General features: G+C 37.2%; 1 protein-coding gene across 13 annotated transcripts in view; it reads right to left on the bottom strand.

Annotated features, from left to right (window-relative positions):
- NUBPL (NUBP iron-sulfur cluster assembly factor, mitochondrial) overlaps nucleotides 1–20469 on the bottom strand; it is a 299821-nt gene that overhangs the window by 250179 nt on the left and 29173 nt on the right. For 12 of the 13 annotated variants that reach the window (NR_120408.2, XR_007064050.1, NM_025152.3 and 9 more), the window contains one exon: nucleotides 11667–11757. Coding sequence is in view for 9 of the 13 variants with exons in the window: in NM_025152.3 (NP_079428.2) it covers nucleotides 11667–11757 (91 nt within the window). In the remaining 4 variants the exon portion in view is untranslated. Of the gene's footprint in view, nucleotides 1–11666; nucleotides 11758–20469 lie in introns of those variants that run through there. The other variant, XM_047431786.1, reaches the window with a different exon arrangement.

Here is a 20469-nt window from a genome sequence, read left to right as displayed (position 1 = left end):
GTGGTGAACGTGGGCATCCTTGTCATGTTCCAGATATTAGAGGGAAGGCTTTCAGTTTTTCTCCATTCATTATGATGCTAGCTGAGGGTCTGTCATACATGCTGTTTATTATGTTGAGGTATGTTCCTTCTATACCCAGTTTTTTGAAGGTTTGTATCCTGAAGGGATGTTGAATTTTATCAAATGCTTTTTCACCATCAAGTGAAATGATCATATGGTTTCAGTCCTTCATTCTGTTGATACACTGCATCACATTAATTGATTTGCTTGTGCTGAACCATCCTTGCATCCCAGGGATAAATCCCAGTTGGTCATGATGAATGGTCTAATGTATTACTGAATTTGGTTTCCTAGTATTTTATTGAGGATTTATGCATCAGTATTCATCAGAGAAGGTGGCCTGCAGTTTTCTTTCTTTTTTTTTTTTTTTTTTTTTTGATGTATCTTTCTCTGGTTTTGATATCAGGGTAATACTGGCCTCACAGAATGAGTGTGGCAATATTCCCTCCTCCTCTGTTTTTCAGAACAGTTTGAGTAGGATTGGTATTGGTTCTTTAAATATTTGGTAGAATTCAGCAGTGAAGCTATTGGGTCGTGGACTTTTCTTTACTGGGAGACTTTTTATTACAGCATTGATCTTGTTACTTGTTGTTGGTCTGTTTAAGTTTAGGAAGATTGAATTCTTCCTAATTCAATCTTGGTAGGTTGTACGTGTATATGAATTTATCCATTTCTTCTAGATTTTCCAATTTATTGGCATGTACTTACTCACAGTAGCCACTAATGATCCTTTGAATTTCTGCAGTATCAGTTGTAACATCTCCTTTTTCATTTCTGATTTTGTTTATTTTTAATCTTCTTTCCTCTTTTCTTAGTCTGGCTAGAGGTTTGTCAATTCTGTCAATCTTTTTAAAAAGCAACTTTTTGTTTCATTGATCTTTTGTATTGTTTTCTTCATTTCATTTACTTCTTCTCTGATCTTTATTATGTCTTTTCTTCTACTAATTTCGGGTGTAGTTTGCTCTTGCTTTTCTAGTTCTTTAAGATGCATCGTTAAATTGTTTATTGAAAATTTTACCTCTTTTTGATATAGGCACTTATAGCTACAAACTTCCCTCTTAGTACAGCTTTTGTTGTATCCCACAGGGTTTGGTATGTTATATCTCCATTATCATTTTTTTCAAGAAATTTTTCAATTTCCTTCTTAATTTCTTCATTGGCCCACAGGTCATTCAGGAGCATATTGTTTAATTTCCATGTATTTGTACAGTTTCCAAAATTCTTGTTATGGATTTCCAATTTTATTCCATTGTGGTCAGAGAAGATGCTTGATATTATTTCCATTTTTTGAATGTTTTAAGACTTGTTTTGTGACCTAACATGTGGTATATCCTTAAGAATGATCCATGTGCTGAGGAAAAGAATGTGTATTCTGCATTCACTGGATGAAATGCTCTGTAAATATCTATTAGATCCCTTATGTCTATACAGATAAAGTCTGATGTTTCTTTGTTGATTTTCTGTCTGGAAGATTTGTTCAATGCTGCAAGTGGGGTATTGAAGTCTCCAGGTATTATTGTATTGAGCTTTATCTCTTTCTTTAGCTCTGATAATATTTGCTTTATATATCCAGGTGCTCCAGTGTTGGGTGCATATATATTTAAAATTGTTATATCCTCTTGCTGCATTGACCCCTTTATCATTATATAGTGACCTTCTTTGTCTCTTCTTATAGATTTTTGTCTTAAAATCTGTTTTGTCTGATGTAAGTATAGCAACTCCTGCTCTTTTTTGGTTTCTGTTGGCATGGAGTATCTTTTATACCCCTTTATTTTCAGTCTATGTGTGTCTTTATAGGTGAAATGTAGTTCTTGTAGGCTACAAATCAATGGGTCTTGTTTTTTTTTATCTATTTAGCCACTCCATCTTTTGATTGGAGAGTTTAGTCCATTGTTATTACTAATAAATAAAGACTTATTCCTGCCATATTGTTACTTGTTTTCTGGTTGTTTTGTGGTCTTCTCTTCCTTCCTTCTTTCCTTCCTGTCTTCCTTAAGTGAAGCTGATTTTCTCTGGTGATATAATTTACTTTCTTGCTTTTTATTTGTTGTGTATTCATTGAATGTTTTTTGGTTTGAGGTTACCATGAGGCTTGCAATTCTATCTGATAACCCAGGGGTCCCCAACCCCCAGGCCGCAAACCAGTACCAGTCTGTGGCCTGTTAGAAACTGGGCCACACAGCAGGAGGTGAGTAGCAGGCAAGGGAACATTACTGTCTGAGTTCCGCCTCCTGTCAGATCAGTGGCAGCATTAGATTCTAAGTCTAGATTTCTACTTAGGATAAGAGTAGATTACACACATAGTTACAATGTTACAAAAATCTTTTTTTCCCTGCATACTTACTATTACGAGTGAGTTTTGTACCTTCAGGTGATTACCTACTGTTCATCAATGTCTTTTTCTTTATTTATCTTTCTTTGTTTCTTTTTTTTTGAGACAGTCTCACTCTGTCACCCAGGCTGGAGTGCAGTGGCATGATCTCGGCTCACTGCAACCTCTGCCTCCTGGGTTCAAGTGAGTCTCCTGCCTCAGCCTCCAAAGTAGCTGGGACTACAGGCGCCCGCCACCATGCCCAGCTAATTTTTGTATGTTTAGTAGAGACAGGGTTTCACCATGCTGGCCAGGCTGGCCTCGAACTCCTGACCTCAGGTGATCCGCCCGCCTCAGCCTCCCAAAGTGCTGGGATTATAGGAGTGAGCCACTACACTCAGCCTATGTCCTTTTCTTTCTGATGAAGTATTCCCTTTAACATCTCCTGTAGCTCAAGTCTGGTGTTAAAAATCCCTCAGCTTTTGTTTGTCTGGGAAAGTCTTTATTTCTTCTTGATGCTTGAAGGATATTTTCACCAGATATACTATTTTAGGGTAAAAGTGTTTTCCCTCAGCATTTTAAATATGTCATGCCATTCTCTCTTGGCCTGTAAGGTTTCCACTGAAAAGTCTGCTGCCAGAGGTACTGGAGCTCCATTGTATGTCATTTATTTCTTTTCTCTTGCTGCTTTTAGGATTGTTTCTTTATCCTTGATCTTTGGGAGTTTGATTATTAAATGCCTTTGGATAGTTTTCTTTTGGTTAAATCTGTTTTGTTTTATAACCTTATTGTACTTTTGGATATTGATATCTTTCTCCAGGTTTTGGAAGTGATCTGTTATTATCCTTTGAATGAACTTTCTACCTCTAGCTCTTTCTTTTCCCTCTTCTTTAAGGCCAATAACCCTTAGATTTACCCTTTTGAGACTATTTCCTAGATCCTGTTGTTGTGCTTCACTGTTTTTCATTCTTTTTTCTTTTGTCTCCTCTGACTATATATTTTCAAATAGTCTGTCTTCAAGTTCACTAATTCTTTCTTCTGCTTGATCAATTCTATTAAAAGACTGATGCATTCTTCAGCATGCCAACTTCATTTTTCAGCTCAAGAATTTCAGCTTGAATCTTTTTAATTATTTCAATCTCTTTGTTAAATTTATCTGATAGAATTCTGAATTCTTTCTATGTAGTATCTTGACTTTCTTTGAGTTTCCTCACACAGCTATTTTGAATTCTTTGTCTGAAAGGTCACATACCGGGACTGGTCCCTGGTGTTTTTTTGTTGTTTTTTTTTTTGAGACAAAGTCTCACTCTGTCACCCAGGCTGCAGTGCAGTGGCACGATCTCGGCTCACTGCAACCTCCACCTCCCAGGTTCAAGCAATTTTCCTGCCTCAGCCTCCCGAGTAGCTGGGACTACAGGCATACACCACCACGCCCAGCCAAATTTTTTTGTATTTTAGTAGAGATGGGGTTTCACCATGTTGCCCAGGCTGGTCTTGAACTCCTGAGCTCAGGCAATCTGCCCGCCTCGGCCTCACGAAGTGCTAGGATTACAGTCGTGAGCCACTGTGCCCAGCCAGCTAGTTAAGTTTCTAAACTGAAAATTAGAGAAGGTTAATAGCCAAGTTTCCCAATGAAACATCACTATTCTCTTTTCTTCCAGTTCTGTAATGATTGCCCCTTTAAAGAACAAAATAAAGTGATGTCAGCAAGAGAGTTGACTAAGCCCCTGGTGCTCATCCTCCTCACAAAGACAGCCAGAACAACAAATAAATAACTACATTTGGATACACCAACTCCACAACCCTATCCCAGCAACCAGGATCAGCTGGGAATCAGGAGGAAATTTTCCCTACAGTGAAGAGGTAAGCAAGAATATTCCAACAACCCCCATCAAAACCTTGGACAACTACAGACCTCAAGCTGAAGGAGCCTCCTGCAGTCCACATATCTATGATACCCCAAAGAGGAGCCAACAATATGCCCTGCCCTCTGTGGCCCATGAGGCTACTGTACTAGTCATCTTAAAACTGGAGGTATCTGGTGAGTATCCCCAGAACCACCCTAACCGGCTGGGCTAACATCCACAAGCCGAGCAGCAAATAGCTGTTACACCCTTTGGGAACTCCATGCTTTGGATAGGAATGTGATCTTGCATGTTAACACCTTCAGCAACACCCCTAGATCTCTTCTCTGGAAGGAAACAACAGAGTGACTTAAGGAATAACTAGAGTTCACTCTCATTCTTTAAGCACTTAAGTTACCTTTAAGAAATCTCAGTTCCAGGCCAGGTGTGGTGGCTCAGCCCTGTAATCGCAGCACTTTGGGTGGCCAAAGCAGGAGGATTGCTTGAGTCCAGGAGTTCAAGACCAGCCTGGGCAACACAGTGAGACCCCAGCTCTACAAAAAATTAAAAATTAGCCAGTATGGTGGCACACGCCTGTAGTCCCAGCTACTTGGGAGGCTGAGGAGGGACAGTCACTTGAGCCCAGGAGTTTGAGGCTGCAGTGAGTTATGATGGCACCACTTTACTCCAGCCTGGGCAACAGAGTGATACTCTCAAAAAAAAAAAAAAAAGAAAAGAAAAGAAAAAGGAAGATGAAGGAGGAAGAAGAAGAAGAATGGAGGAGGAGGGAGGAGGAGGGAGAAGGAGTGAGGGAGGAGAAAAGGAAGAAGGAGAAGGGAGGACGAGAGGAGGAGGGAGAGGGGAGAAGAGGAGGAGGGAGAAGAGAGGACAAGAGGAGGAGGGAGAAGGGAGGAGGAGAGAAGGAAGGAGAAGGGAGGAGACAAGGAGGAGGAAGAAGGGAGGAGACAAGGAAGGAGAAGGGAGGAGGAAGAAAGGAGGAGACGAGAAAGGAGAAGGGAGGAGGAAGAGGAGGAGGAGGAAGGAAAAGAAGAAGAAGAAGGAGAAGGAGAAGGAGGAAGGAAGGAAGAAGAAGAAGAAGAAAGAAGAAAGAAGAAGAAAGAAGAAAGAAGCAGAAGATCTCAGTCCCTTCTTTGTAGTTTTTATCAGAGATTATAAAAGGTCATTTGCTCAAGCTGATTTTCCACTTCTCTGTCTCAGAAGCCTACATACACATTAATTCCTAAACTTGAAAAAAGTTTACTAACTTTAAACAAATAGAGCAGAAAACTGTGCCATGAGTGCAAAATTACTATCCCACAATAGAAAAGACAAGGGGATCCTACTCAAAATCACTAATAAACACTGTGTCATCCTCAATAAAATACTTGACATATCCATTTTAGTAAACTCTCTCCACAGGTCTTGAAATTTTCCTACTTTATTAGCTCATTACATTTAAAGACTCTTCAGTAAAACTAAGTAGTAATAAATTCACCAGTATTCTGAAAGTGATTTTTCATCACAAAACTATGAAACAAAGCAGATATTTCTACTAATATCTACTAAGAGAGAGATGTGTTGTCTCTCTTGTGCAACAGCCATTTAATATTCATTTGCCATTTCAATTGAAAACCTACAATAATTTCTAGGACTATAATTTGGCTATACTATAATATGAAATCTGAATTTGACACTATTTGGAAAGCTAAAATGAAGGAAAAAATTGGCATTTGTTCTTTAAAAAAGGTTATATTCATGCTTAGATGCTGGTTTCTCCAAGGACGTTTAGGTTTTATTCTAAATCCCACTAGCTTCCCAAAGTAACTGCTCATCTTCAGTCATTATAATGTCAGCCTGTTGATGCTTTTGCATAATGCCCTTTCTACAAACTGGCTAGATTTTCCACTACCATAATTTTGCATGATAACATAGAAAAATCACTATTGTCATTTTAAGCTGACGGAAACATTCTCAGCCTAAGAAACTCAAAACTATTATAAACTTAAAATCTTCAATTACTGAATTCACTTTTTTAAAATCGAACAGAAACTTTCTCTTGGTAATGAAGGCTAAAATGTCTTAAATGCAAAATGTGTTGTTTTTCTACAATTCCCCCCACCCTCCCAAAAAAAGGTATGAAGAGAATGTGGATAAACGTATGATCTGCCAACCCTAACATATCATTTTAAAATGAACAAATTGTCAAAAACTACATTGCCATACATCTATTTAAATAATAAGGAGAAAGGTAATTCTGAAGTCCCACTGCTTGCAAGGCTGTCCAGCTTAGTCCCAGAACAGAGGAACACCTATAAAGGTGGGATTCAATTCACTGGTCTATCTCCCCAAAACCTGAACTGCTGGAAACAAGCCTTTCATAGTTTCTCTTTATTGTTAATTAGGTAATTTTGTATTGTATTGTGTTTTCTGTAATAGCAGAATAGGATAAATTAACATGAAAAATGTAGAAATGTCAGAATGATACCAATTAGTAGAATGGTGGCAGGTTTTTCTAAGATTCAAAAATAATTTATAAGTTGCATTTTTAAGATTCCACATTCTTTTAAGTGAACGCCTTAATCATTCAGTTTATTTCTTGGGGGACTTAAGATCAGCCTGTCAACAGAGAAAGTGTTTTTTTTTTTTTTTTTCAGCCTTTCCAAGATTTCCAGTACCTCGTCTTTACCCGAAAGCCTATTTACTGGCAGCCAATTTGCAAACATCAAATTTAAGATTATAGCTTCAGTAAAACAAGAAGAAAGAAATTAAAGTTCACTTCGAGTGTTTATGTTGGCATATACCAAGCAGACTACTTAAGAAAAGAATGACACTGAGGGCTCCATTTTGCCATTCCTCATGTTCTGCATGTACTAGTTTTCATATTACTTTAATCAAGAGACAAACATAATGAATCTATCATTTAAAGTATGCAAATTCATTACTCCTTCTTTGTGAAAGCTTGACACCTTGGCTCATGTCATATATTTGCAAACTAAGTATGTATTCCACTAAAAAGTCAAGAAAAAGAAACCAGAATAACAGCTTTTCAAGTTTATGTTTCATGAAACAAGAAAATAATTAAGTGGGTACTTGCAATATACTACTGCTAGGGTCAATGTTAACATCACTAAAATCTTTAAGTTTTCTTCAAAATGTTAGGGAGAATCTTTACTGTCTCATAAAGAATTATCCAAAACTTAACATTATAATTGGCTCCAACAACTAAACCACAAACAAAAGCCTCTTAAATGGTAAGCAATGCTGAATTAACTTTTAATGACAACAAAAATAATCTTCTATTACCTACAGAGATAATCCAATAAATATACAGGAGTAAATATAGTCATTTTCTCTAGAACAATGGAAAATAAAAAGCCCAATAAGAACAAAAAGAAATTATTCAATTTTATACTCATTATCATTACAAATCAATAAACCAATTTCCCATAAAACCATTCTTTTAAAAAAATTATCAGTTTTTCCAATTCCTTTTTTTCTTTTCTTTTCTTTTTCTTTTTTTTTTTTTTTTTTCAGACAGGATCTTGCTTTGTCATCCAGGCTGGAGTACAGTGGTGCAGTCATGGCTCACTGCAGCCTTGACTTCCAGGACTCAAGTGATCCTCTTACCACAGTCCCCTGAATATCAGGGACTACAGGTGTGAGCCACCATGCCCAGCTAATTTTTTTATTTTTGTCTCACTATGTTGCCCAGGCTGGTCTTGAACTCCTGGGCTCAAGCTGTCCTCCCACCTCAGTCTCCCAAAGTGCTGGGATTACAGCCATGTGAGCCACTAAGCCAAGCCAATTCATTTTTTGATAATAACATTTCCTTCTTCTTAAAGCTTCTGATAGCTTTATTTTTTAAATGCAATAACAACAGCAGTAAACATTAAAGAGGTATTTAAAAATTACTTCTTTCTAGTAAAGAGGCTAGGGAAAGAAAATAATGTTTTGGGAGTTTTTTTTAACACTTTAAAACAAATCTGACCAAGAAATCTGATCAGAGAAAATAATTTTCATCTTTTCTGAACACAAATATATTTCCTATTCAAATAATCCCATATATCCACACATTTAATATAAAGAGACAATAATGAGGATCTACCATTTTTGATCACTTACTATGTGCCAGAAATTCTGCTAAATGCATTATATTAATCCTCACAGTAGTTGTAACTATTTTACATATGGGGGTCTGAGGCACAAAAAGATTAAAACAATTTACTCAAGTCATATAGCTAGTAAATGGATGGGGCTGAGAATCAAACCCAGGCAGTCCAGTACCATGTCTGATTTCTTTTTATATATATACTTTTTATTTATTTTATTAAAATTCGGTGCTCTACGTGTTCAGAGAAACTTCTGTAGTAGCGAATTATAGAAATGATTCCTCAAAGTACAGTCTTCCATGTCTGCTTTTTTTTTCTTTTTTTTTTCTATTATTATACTTTAAGTTTTAGGGTACATGTGCACAATGTGCAGGTTAGTTACATATGTATACATGTGCCATGCTGGTGTGCTGCACCCATTGACTTGTCATTTAGCATTAGGTATATCTCCCAATGCTATCCCTCCCCCCTCCTCCCACCCCACAACAGTCCCCAGAGTGTGATCTTCCCCTTCCTGTGTCCATGTGTTCTCATTGTTCAATTCCCACCTATGAGTGAGAACATGCAGTGTTTGGTTTTTTGTCCTTGCGATAGTTTACTGAGAATGATGATTTCCAGTTTCATCCATGTCCCTACAAAGAACATGAACTCATCATTTTTTATGGCTGCATAGTATTCCATGGTGTATATGTGCCACATTTTCTTAATCCAGTCTATCATTGTTGGACATCTGGGTTGGTTCCAAGTCTTTGCTATTGTGATTAGGGCCACAGTAAACATACGTGTGCACGTGTCTTTATAGCAGCATGATTTATAGTCCTTTGGGTATATACCCAGTAATGGGATGGCTGGGTCAAATGGTATTTCTAGTTCTAGATCCCTGAGGAATCGCCACACTGACTTCCACAATGGTTGAACTAGTTTACAGTCCCACCAACAGTGTCAAAGTGTTCCTATTTCTCCACATCCTCTCCAGCACCTGTTGTTTCCTGACTTTTTAATGACTGCCATTCTAATTGGTGTGAGATGGTATCTCATTGTGGTTTTGATTTGCATTTCTCTGATGGCCAGTGATGGTGAGCAGTTTTCATGTGTTTTTTTGGCTGCATAAATGTCTTCTTTTGAGAAGTGTCTGTTCATGTCCTTCGCCCACTTTTTGATGGGGTTGTTTGTTTTTTTTCTTGTAAATTTGTTTGAGTTCATTGTAGATTCTGGAGAATAAAATACCTAGGAATCCAACTTACAAGGGATGTGAAGGACCTCTTCAAGGAGAACTGCAAACCACTGCTCAGTGAAATAAAAGAGGATACAAACAAATGGAAGAACATTCCGTGCTCATGGGTAGGAAGAATCAATATCATGAAAATGGCCATACTTCCCAAAGGGAATTTATAGATTCAATGCCATCCCCATCAAGCTACCAATGACTTTCTTCACAGAATTGGAAAAAACTACTTTAAAGTTCATATGGAACCAAAAAAGAGCCTGCATCACCAAGTCAATCCTGAGCCAAAAGAACAAAGCTGGAGGCATCACGCTACCTGACTTCAAACTATACTGCAAGGTTACAGTAACCAAAACAGCATGGTACTGGTACCAAAACAGAGATATAGATCAATGGAACAGAACAGAGCCCTCAGAAATAACGCCGCATATCTACGACTATCTGATCTTTGACAAACCTGAGAAAAACAAGCAATGGGGAAAGGATTCCCTATTTAATAAATGGTGCTGGGAAAACTGGCTAGCCAAATGTAGAAAGCTGAAACTGGATCCCTTCCTTACACCTTATACAAAAATTAATTCAAGATGGATTAAAGACTTAAACATTAGACCTAAAACCATAAAAACCCTAGAAGAAAACCTAGGCATTACCATTCAGGACATAGGCATGGGCAAGGACTTCATGTCTAAAACACCAAAAGCAATGGCAACAAAAGCCAAAATTGACAAATGGGATCTAATTAAACTAAAGAGCTTCTGCACAGCAAAAGAAACTACCATCAGAGTGAACAGGCAACCTACAAAATGGGAGAAAATTTTTGCAACCTACTCATCTGACAAAGGGCTAATATCCGGAATCTATCATGTCTGCTTTCTGAATCACTATACAGCAGGTCCTCCAATAAAATTGCTTTCTTTCAACATCATTTTGTTGTAACATTAATAAAGAAAAAAATCAATTTCAAGCCACGACCACAGTCTTGTGTAAAGTTTGCATGTTCTCCCCAGGTCTGCGTGGGTATTCGGGTACTCTAGTTTCCTTCCACATCCCAAAGCTATGCACATTAGATGAACTGGCGTGTCTGTATGGTCCCAGTCTGAATGAGTGTGGGTGTGTGAGTGTACCCTGCAATGGAATGGCCTCCTTTCCAGGGTTGATTCCTGCCTTGTGCCCTGAGCTGCCAGGATAGCTCCAGGCACCCCCAACCCTGAACCAGAATAAGTGGGTTGGAAGATGAATGAATGGATACAAATGATTGCCAAATAAAAATTAGTGGGCCAGGTGTAGTGGCTCACACCTGTAATCCCAGCATTTTTTGAGGGTGAGGTGGGTGGATCACCTGAGGTCAGGAGTTCAAGACTAGCCTGACCAACATGGCGAAACCCCATCTGTACTAAAAATACAAAAATTAGCTGGGCGTGGTGGCGTGCACCTGTAGTCCCAGCTACTTGGGAGGCTGAGGCAGGAGAATCACTTGAACCCAGGAGGCAGAGGTTGCAGTGAGCCGAGATCACACCACTGCATTCCAGCCTGGGCAGCAGGGTGGGACTCTGTCTCAAAAAAAAAAAAAAAGAAAAAAAACTAGTAAAGTATATGATAATCATACAAATGCACAATAAACAATGCAGTAAGAAAATGCTCAATGATCTGCCATATTGGTTACTCTTGAATTGCATGATGGTAAGAGATGCTCCTTACAATTTTCACTTTGCAAACACCTATTCCTTGATTTAACCCACCACCACTATGACTGCTTTCACTCACTGATTCACTAAAAATTGTGTAAATAATTATATTGTTTTTATTAATCTTTCTTAAATGTACTTATAGCCCAAATTTATTTCTTTGTTTAATATTAGAAGTGTTTTGAGTCTTTATTTAGAAGTTTGGTGAAGTTTTTGTGACCAGAAATATGCCATAGGAACTTAACTCTTGTTTATATCAATTAACATATCTATTCACTTAAAGTAACAGTTTCCAAGAATCTACTAACTTAAGTGAGGACTTACACTACATTGTGCATAAAATATACATTGCATCTAGCATAATGTCTGACACCCAGTAAGTATTAATAAAAGTGCAACTATTATTATAATATTTATCCCTTCTTTACTTACTCTGTGATAATTCCGGATTTCCTTTCAGATTCATCATCTTTGGAACTGAAGGTCCATACACATCCACATCTAGCAAACCAATGGCCTTGGACTGTAAAAAAATAAATAAAAATATAAAACAAAACAAAAACACTTTACCATAAGATTGTTCCCACTCTTCTCAAAGGTGAAGCATATAGCAACAGTAATCTGAGTACAGAAAATAAAATTGGCAAAATATTACAAATCATAACCTAAACTTCCAAAGCAACAGTTAAGTAAAAGAGCATAAATTGCTTAGGGTCAATACTTTTTACGATTTACTAATATCGTCTAGACAACTGATAGAGAAATCCATCCTATATGCTTTACATATTGTAGTTCAGGTCTCTCATATAGTCTCAAGCAGACTAAGACCTTTTTGATCTGAACATGAGTTTGAGAACAAATTACATGTAAACAATTTTAAAATAATGATTTGTGATGGCAAGCAAAACCCCAGAAAGACACAACATTAACTTTTGGAAAGCTTGTCTAACACACCAAAGAAGACAAAATAAAAAAAGATCATGGAAACAGGGCCATAATAAAGCAAGTGAGAAACTCTGATGTAGATCTGGCATAAATGAGATGGAAGCACTAACAAGGATACTGGCACACCTAACACAGAGACAACCTCTTATATGCAAGTCACAATTAAATACAAAACGTCTTCTAGAGGATTCAGAAACAACTAAAACTGTTTTCTTTGATGATGCATCCAGCTGCTGAAGGACAGGATACCCTGTCTGGGCTCTTCGCTGGCTGTCAATTAATCAGCAGCTTAGCCAAGGAAAGGAAAACAAAATCCGCTATTAAAAAATATGTCTCTTTTTTTTCTTCTTCCCCTCTCTTCTTTCTCCTTTGATAGATGAAATCAATCTGTTACTGGTTTTGCTCATCTACAAGTAAACAGAACCCTAACACGATATGTCTTAGAGTTGTTTCATCAAGTCTTACAACTTTCCTACTACTCTCTTCATATCCTACAGAATAAAACTCGTAACCCCTCGACAAAATTTTTTGAAAAACTGAAGCAATCACTCATCTTCGATGTTACCTACCTATTTCTAGACAAAAAAAAACTTTTTAAATTTTGTTATCTGGTTCCTATGAACATACAAAATAAGGTAAATCTAACATTTGTGTTTCCAACTTTATACTGACTAAAACTGCAGTTTAAATATACATATATATATCTGTATGACTCAGTGTCCTCAGAGGAAAAAACGGGATTAATATCTGCCTCTATGAAAATCTCAGCTTTATGTAAAATAAATGAGAAAAATAGGAAGGATACTTGATTTTTCATAGAATGGTGGTATATAAAATTTAAGCTTAATGCATTTAGGTATCAGATTTAAGAAGGGAGGAACAGTCAATGAGAAATTTGACCAATTTAACTATTTTTTAAACCACAAACAGAAGAATTTAGCTAAATTAAAACAATTAAATTTACTATGGATAACAAGATTTTCAAATGAGGGGACCTAAATCTAGAAATATGGCTAATTGTTAACTTCTATTGCATAAAGTTCTGCTAATGCTATAACTATCATCCTAGAATTTTATCTCTTTTCTGTATTTTTATGACACCTACAAAAACTAAAAACTACTGCCAAATAATAATAAATACCAATAAAAACAAAAGCTATTTTAAAATTCTCTTTCCTTGTTCTCTTATTTATATCAATGCTGGTTTTACAATAACATGAAGGGGGTTAGGTCCTAAGTTTCAAATTGATCTTCTAACATTACCTGTCAAGTAAAATAACAGCTTTTTAAGTTTATGTTTCCATGAAACAAGAACATAACTAAGTGTTCTAACTAATATAAGATTGCTAGGGTCAATTTTATCATCACTAGATTTTCAAGTTTCCTTCAAAATGCTAGGAAAGATCTATCATCTATCCTGCTTCTAGAAGAATACCAAGCTTGCCTAAAGATGAACTCTTGGCATAATGTTCCAAAAAAACTGAAGATCTCTCCTAACATTTGCTACGGTAAGAGTAGATTTTACATATGCCTAGATGGCTCCAATAAACGTTATGTAAAAATTAAGGAGGAGGGGGAAATTACAAGATTTTCGAATTCTTCTGCTTCCTAGAGAATAGAAATAACACTAACTGACAATATTCTACATATTAGGCTCTCTACGTACTCTAAGAGACTGACCTAAATTTAGTACCAATGCTTGCATATATCAAAAAGGAAACAAAGGGAGGAAAATATAAAGATCAGGAGGAAAAGAGAAAGAGAGGAAAGAGAGAGAGGAGCAAAGGGATTAAGGACGGAGGAAGAACAGGATAAAGGGACATTAGACAGCAAAGTTATATAAAGATGCCGGATAAACTAGGCCTCCACTGCCAGCCCTATGGACAAATCAGAACCTATAAAAACATACCATCTTAAATTACCCAGACACCAACACTTTCCCTGATTGCATCTCCCCATTTTTTGAATTCCTTCTGGGTACTGGGCAGTTAGCTAAGCATTTTATTTACATTTTTTCACTTATCCTCACAGCAACACTGCAAGGTGGTATTATCCATACTCATGAATGAGAAAGCCAGAAACTTACACTCAAAATGACCATTTAAAGTATTCTTTCTTAAAATGAAGTAGAATGGGAAATTAAACATGAAAATGCTAACCTCATAAACCTCCAACAGAACTTTAACACGATCTAACTCCAAAAACTTAGATACAGAGCACACTTATTCTTAAAGGGCTAACAGTAAATATTTCAGACGTTGAGGATCATATGATCTCTATGGTAACTACTCAACATTACCATTGTAGCATCAAGGCAGCCATAAACAATATGTAAATAAATTAACATGGCTGTGTTCCAATAAAACTTCACAAAAAACGGCAGGATTTGGTCCACATGTCATAGTTAGCCAACATTCAATTTAGAGAGCAAAGTTTTTCATGATGAAGCTATTCAGTCATTCAACAATGTAATTTTGTTAGCACCAAGAGCACGCAGGCCAGTCATCTCAGCGTCAGAGGAGCTATCTCAGTAAAGATTTACTCTCTCATCCTTAATTGGCTAGATTTTAAAAATTAAAAAGCACTCTTTTCAGACTATTTTACTGGAACTAAATTAGGATGTCTTGCTTAGATTTTATTTATCATGAATAAAATCAGTGTCCAGGCCGGGCGCGGTGGCTCACGCCTGTAATCCCAGCACTTTGGGCCAAAGTGGGCGGATCACAAGGTCAGGAGATCAAAATCATCCTGGCTAACATGGTGAAACCCCGTCTCTACTAAAAATACAAAAAATTAGCTAGGCGTGCTGGCGGGCACCTGTGGTCCCAGCTACTCGGGAGGCTGAGGCAGGAGAATGGCATGAACCCAGGAGGTGGAGCTTGCAGTGGGCCAAGATTGCGCCACTGCACTCCAGCCTGGGCAACAGAGTGAGACTCTGTCTTAAAAAAAAAAAAAAAAAAATCAGTGTCCATTAACAGAAACACCAAAGCATACATTAATTAAAGCATATTATACTTAGAATTGGCACAGCTACCAGACCAGTACAGTTACCATTGCTATAAAAATAAATTTAAACAGATTTTCAAGTCTAGAATTCAGTAATGTTCAAAAGGTGCCAAATAAACTTCATTTGTTTTTCATAATTGACTCCGTTATTTTTAAATAGGCTCCTATTTTAAGTATGTAAATAGTCTTTCACTTTAAACTTCCAGTTTTACACTGTTAGAAAAATAAATGAGCAAGGTAAAAGCCTATAAATAAATGTATGCAGCTGGGTGTCCAGCCAGCTAAGTTTTATGAATCCTTTCCAACTTACTCCTTCTATAATAATTTTATTTACTCAAGAAAGCTCCATTTAGGATTTTCTTCAATTTCAGCCAGATTCAAACGAATATTTGCTACAAAAGCTACCAAATACACAACAGATAAAAAAAATTACTATTAGCAAAAATAACTGTAAACTTACTATTGTAAAGTCTGATTGTCATCTTTAATGTCACCATAAACTTAACCTAATGTTGGTATCTAACAATATACTCTTTTTCTGACTCTCCTACAGATTTCAAAATCTAGCAGATGACATAAAACAAGATAGATCAAACCCCAAGATAACAATTAGTTTTTTGGATTTGTTTATAATTTGTAACACCCTGTGGAAGTTGTAAAAGGTGGCAGAATTATTCAAGAGTAATTATACTGTTTCACTACTACTGCAAGAAAGCTGCAATTTGAGAGCCTACACGTCTTATTTTTGTGTGTTGGATTTCAAAGACACGAACCACAGTTTTGATACTGCTTTGTTCTTCCAATGCAATTTATACTAAATAAGATTGTAAAGCTTCATGATATGTTCCTTTTATCCATGTCTTCTGCTAATAGAACCCATCAAAACAACATCTTAGAACGTTCCCACCCAATTATTTCTAAATAAGACCTACCTAAAAGTTGTACTTCTACAGAAGTACCCAGCTAAGACTCCCATGATTCCCTGTATATTATATTCAGTTTAATCTCGGACTGGCAGTTGGTGTTTATTCAATTTAGAAATTATTCAAGCCTCTTCTTTCTTCTCTTTCTGCCTAGCTTTATGTCAAGCTGCCAATCATAAGAATTTCAATCTCTTAGTAGAGAAAAATATATGTTTCCAAATTCTATTAGCTAAGATTAAATAAGAATCTGATTGTCAGAAGAGCTAATGGTTAACAAGGTGATAAGAGAACAATTTCCTGCTGTTTATCAAAGGACTGTCTAAATCTTCAAGTTCAATCAGGAAAAAAGAGAAAACACAGCAGCATAAAAGAAAAAAAAAATCACCTGGCTAGTTGGAACACAACCTGAGAGGAGCTCATGAAAAGTACAGAAGAATCCCAAATGATAAAATATTTATAACTGCTCTCAAAAGAGGTACAAAATAGAAATGCAAGATAAATGGCAGATTTCTTTTTGGTTGTTTTTTCAGACGGTCTTGCTCTGTCGCCCATGCTAGAGTGCAGTAGGGCAATAGGGGCCTTGACCTTCCTGGCTCAAGCAACAATCCTCCCGCCTCAGTGTCTTGAGTAACTAGGACTACAGGCACTGGCCACCATGCCTAGCTAATTTTTTTTCGTTTTTTGTAGGGACAGGGTTTCACCACGTTGCCCCAGCTGGTCTCAAACTCTGGGGCTCAAGTGATCCTCCTGCCTCGACCTCCCAAAGTGCTGGGATTACAGGTGTAAGCCACCACACCTGGCCAATAATCAATTTCAAATTAAAGACTCTATTTTTGAGTAGGAAGAAACCTAAGAGATCATCTTAGTCTTCTAATTTTTAGTGATAAAAGAAACTAAGGCCCAGAGATAATGCCATTCCTGGGCCTAGGATCCCAAGTCTCTCTCCAGTGTATCATGAAGCCTAAACACTAATCAACAATCACCAGCCACTTACCATACCTCTTTCACCTCATCTCCTACTCTCCCCTTTTCTAATCTATTCCATACATATTACTGTCTTGCAGCTTCTTAAACACACAAGGAACACTCCAGACTTAGGAGTTTTGCAGTTGCTATTCCCTCAACCAGAAATCCTATTCCCCCAAGTATCCACCTGGTCTCTTACTCACTTCCTTTAAGTCTTGATTTAAACATAACCATATAGTAAGGCATTCACTGGCCAGGCTATCTAAAATTGCAACTCCCTTACCACAACACTACACATTTCCTATTCCCCACCCTGCTTTTTCTTTCTTCTTAGTATCTATATTAGTATTCAACATATTATATACAGTTGTCTCTAGGTATCTGCAGGGCATTGGTTCCAGGACACCTCCGCCCCCATACCAAAACCCTCACTCTTTTTTTTTTTTTTTTTTTTTTTTGAGACGGAAGCTCGCTCTGTCGCCCAGGCTGGAGTGCAGTGGCGCAATCTCAGCTCACTGCAAGCTCCGCCTCCCGGGTTCACGCCATTCTCCTGCCTCAGCCTCCCGAGTAACCGGGACTACAGACGCCCCCCAGCACACCCGGCTAATTTTTTGGTATTTTTAGTAGAGATGGGGTTTCACCGTGTTAGCCAGGATGGTCTCAATCTCCTGACCTCGTGATCCGCCCGCCTCAGCCTCCCAAAATGCTGGGATTACAGGCGTGAGCCACCGCTCCCGGCCAATCCTCAGACTCTTACATAAAATGGCATAGTATTTGCATATAACCTGTACACATCCTCTCGTATACTTTAAATCATCTCTAGATTACTTATAATACCAAATATAATATAAATTTTATGTAAATTGTTATTATACTGTATTTTTATTTGTATTACTTTTTATTGTTGTATTGTTCTTTTTATTGGGTTTTTAAAAATATTTTTGATCCACAGTTGGTTAAATCCACAGATGCAAAACCAGCACATATGGAGTGCAAATGTATTTACCTATTGTTTACTATCTCCTCTACTAGAATGTAAATCCCATGAGGGTAAGGATTTTTGCATGCTTTGTTCACTACTATATACCCAGAACCTAGAAGAGTAGGTAGTTACAGAGATTCCCTATTACATCCCAGAAATTCTGATTCATTCGGTCCGGGCTGCCATCCAACAACCTATATATGTAGCACTCCAGGGTATAAGATGACCACAATGTGAAAAACAGAAATATAGATAATACAGGAAAGAGAGATGAAAATTTGCTACTAAGCCTTGGGACCAGCAGGATCATAATAATAATAATCTACAGTAATCAACAATAACATTAAAGAGGTCCTTTTTTAAATGATTTTTTTTTAAAAAAACATAGTAAACATTCTGCCTTATGTGTGAATAATCAATAAATATTGCACGGGACATATGCATTAAAAAATTATTCATTGTTTATCTGAAATTCAAATTTGTTATTTGCTAAATCTGACAACCTCACCCCAGCCTTTCTTCTCAACAGGGCTGCAAGAATGATTCAGATGAAACATAAGTCAGATTGTGTTATTACTCTGCTCAAAACCCTTCACTGCCACCACTCCTCCCATTTCATTCCTGTAAAAGCCAAAGTCCTTACAACCATTCACCCCACATAACCCAGTCAGTTCCCCACCCACCTCCTGCCTCCCAAACCTAGTAATTTTCATCACCTATTACTCCATTCCACTTCTTCCTCCAGAAATCACATTGGCCTTATTACTATTCCTTGCATGGTATACTAGGCATGCTCCCACCTATTGGCCTTTGCCCCAGCTCTTCCTTCTCCCTGAGATACTCTTCCCTCAGATAGTCACACAGTCTACTCTCATTTTCTTCTCTTCTCTGCTCAAGTGTCATGTTTTCAATGGAAACTATCATATTTTAAACTGCAAACCAGCACTAATCCTTAAGCACTACCCCTCCTCCATCTCGGTTCACTTGTATCACCTTCTAACATACTATTTAACTTACTTGGGATGTTTGTTATCTATTTACTATAAGCTCCATAAGGGCAGGAATATCCCCAAGTATTCTGAACAGTAAAAACTCAATATTTGTTGAATAAATGGGTAAGTAAATAAACTAATAAATGAATGAACAAACCTCCATCTGTTATTCTGTAGAATTTCAGTATTGCTTACTATATGATCCCCACAGTCTCTTATAAGCTTTAACATACTATGATTTCAAGAAAGTCTCTCTTCTAATACTTCTACACTAATACTTTAAGTTATAGGGCTCAAAATTAAGTAATATTACTATATAATAATTATACAATAATATATAGCTTAAAAACATTCTGGTGTTTAAAAGGGGTCATAAATTTCTTTGCAGTCTATTCCTAACAACCATTTTCTCCCCAGAAAATCTAATATCATCTTCCTTTTTCTACTGGCCTCAACTCCAAAAAAAATAGACTTCATGAAAGAAAATCTATTACAAAGAATGGCTATGGTTCTATGGTGGCTTTATTAAAAAATATGGCTGGGCGCAGTGGCTCATGCCTGTAATCCCAGCACTTTAGGAGGCTGAGGCGGGAGGATCATTTGAGGTCAGGAGTTCAAGAGCAGCCTGGCCAACATGGTGAAACCCTGTCTCTACTAAAACTACAAAAATTAGCCAGGCATGGTGGCGGCACCTGTAATCCTAGCTACTTGGGAGGCTGAGGCAGGAGAATTGCTTAAAACCGGAAGACAGAGGTTGCAGTGAGCAGAGATTACACCATTGCATTCCAGCCTGGGTGACAGAGTGATAAAGTACATTGTCTAAATCTTTGAAAACTAAAGTCACAACATGGTATGAAAAAGCTAACCAAAAAGAAGAAAATTTTTTATCTGCTTACTAGCAAGATTTAGTACAATAGGGTTTCAAATATAAAAAAGCTGCAAATCTGGGTTTGTTTTTCTTTCCGGAACTGGAGAAGCAACTTCTTCTTTAACAAGAAAACAGTTGCCTTAAGTGCCACATTTTCATTTAGTAAGGAGGGAAAAGTAAATCAGGAATAAAACACCTAAGATTAAGAGAAGAAAAACTTTAAATCTTGGTCTGTATAATTTTTAAAAAAATAAAATAAAAGATTTTAATGCCCTTAGTAAGTAAAGTCTTCAAATACAGAGAAAATTAGAACGCCTTCTACCACCATGTAGTGCTTATAAAAATGCAGAAGATGCTTACAGACACTGAGCTCTAAAAATCATAGTTATCTGTGATATCAACTAGTCATTTGTTGCCAGAATCAAAGCCTGGGGACCTAGAAACCTAACTAAACAAGAACCTTTCCCCAAACAAATAAAGTACTGCAGCAAAGATGCTGGAAAACTAACATCAATTCCTTAAGAATGTCCTTAACTAAACTGCAATGAAGGGA

This window comes from Homo sapiens, chromosome 14, assembly GCF_000001405.40.
Source record: "Homo sapiens chromosome 14, GRCh38.p14 Primary Assembly".
NCBI lineage: Eukaryota > Metazoa > Chordata > Mammalia > Primates > Hominidae > Homo > Homo sapiens.
Note: the sequence above shows the minus strand (reverse complement) of the source record. Positions and strands in the feature narration are given on the sequence as shown.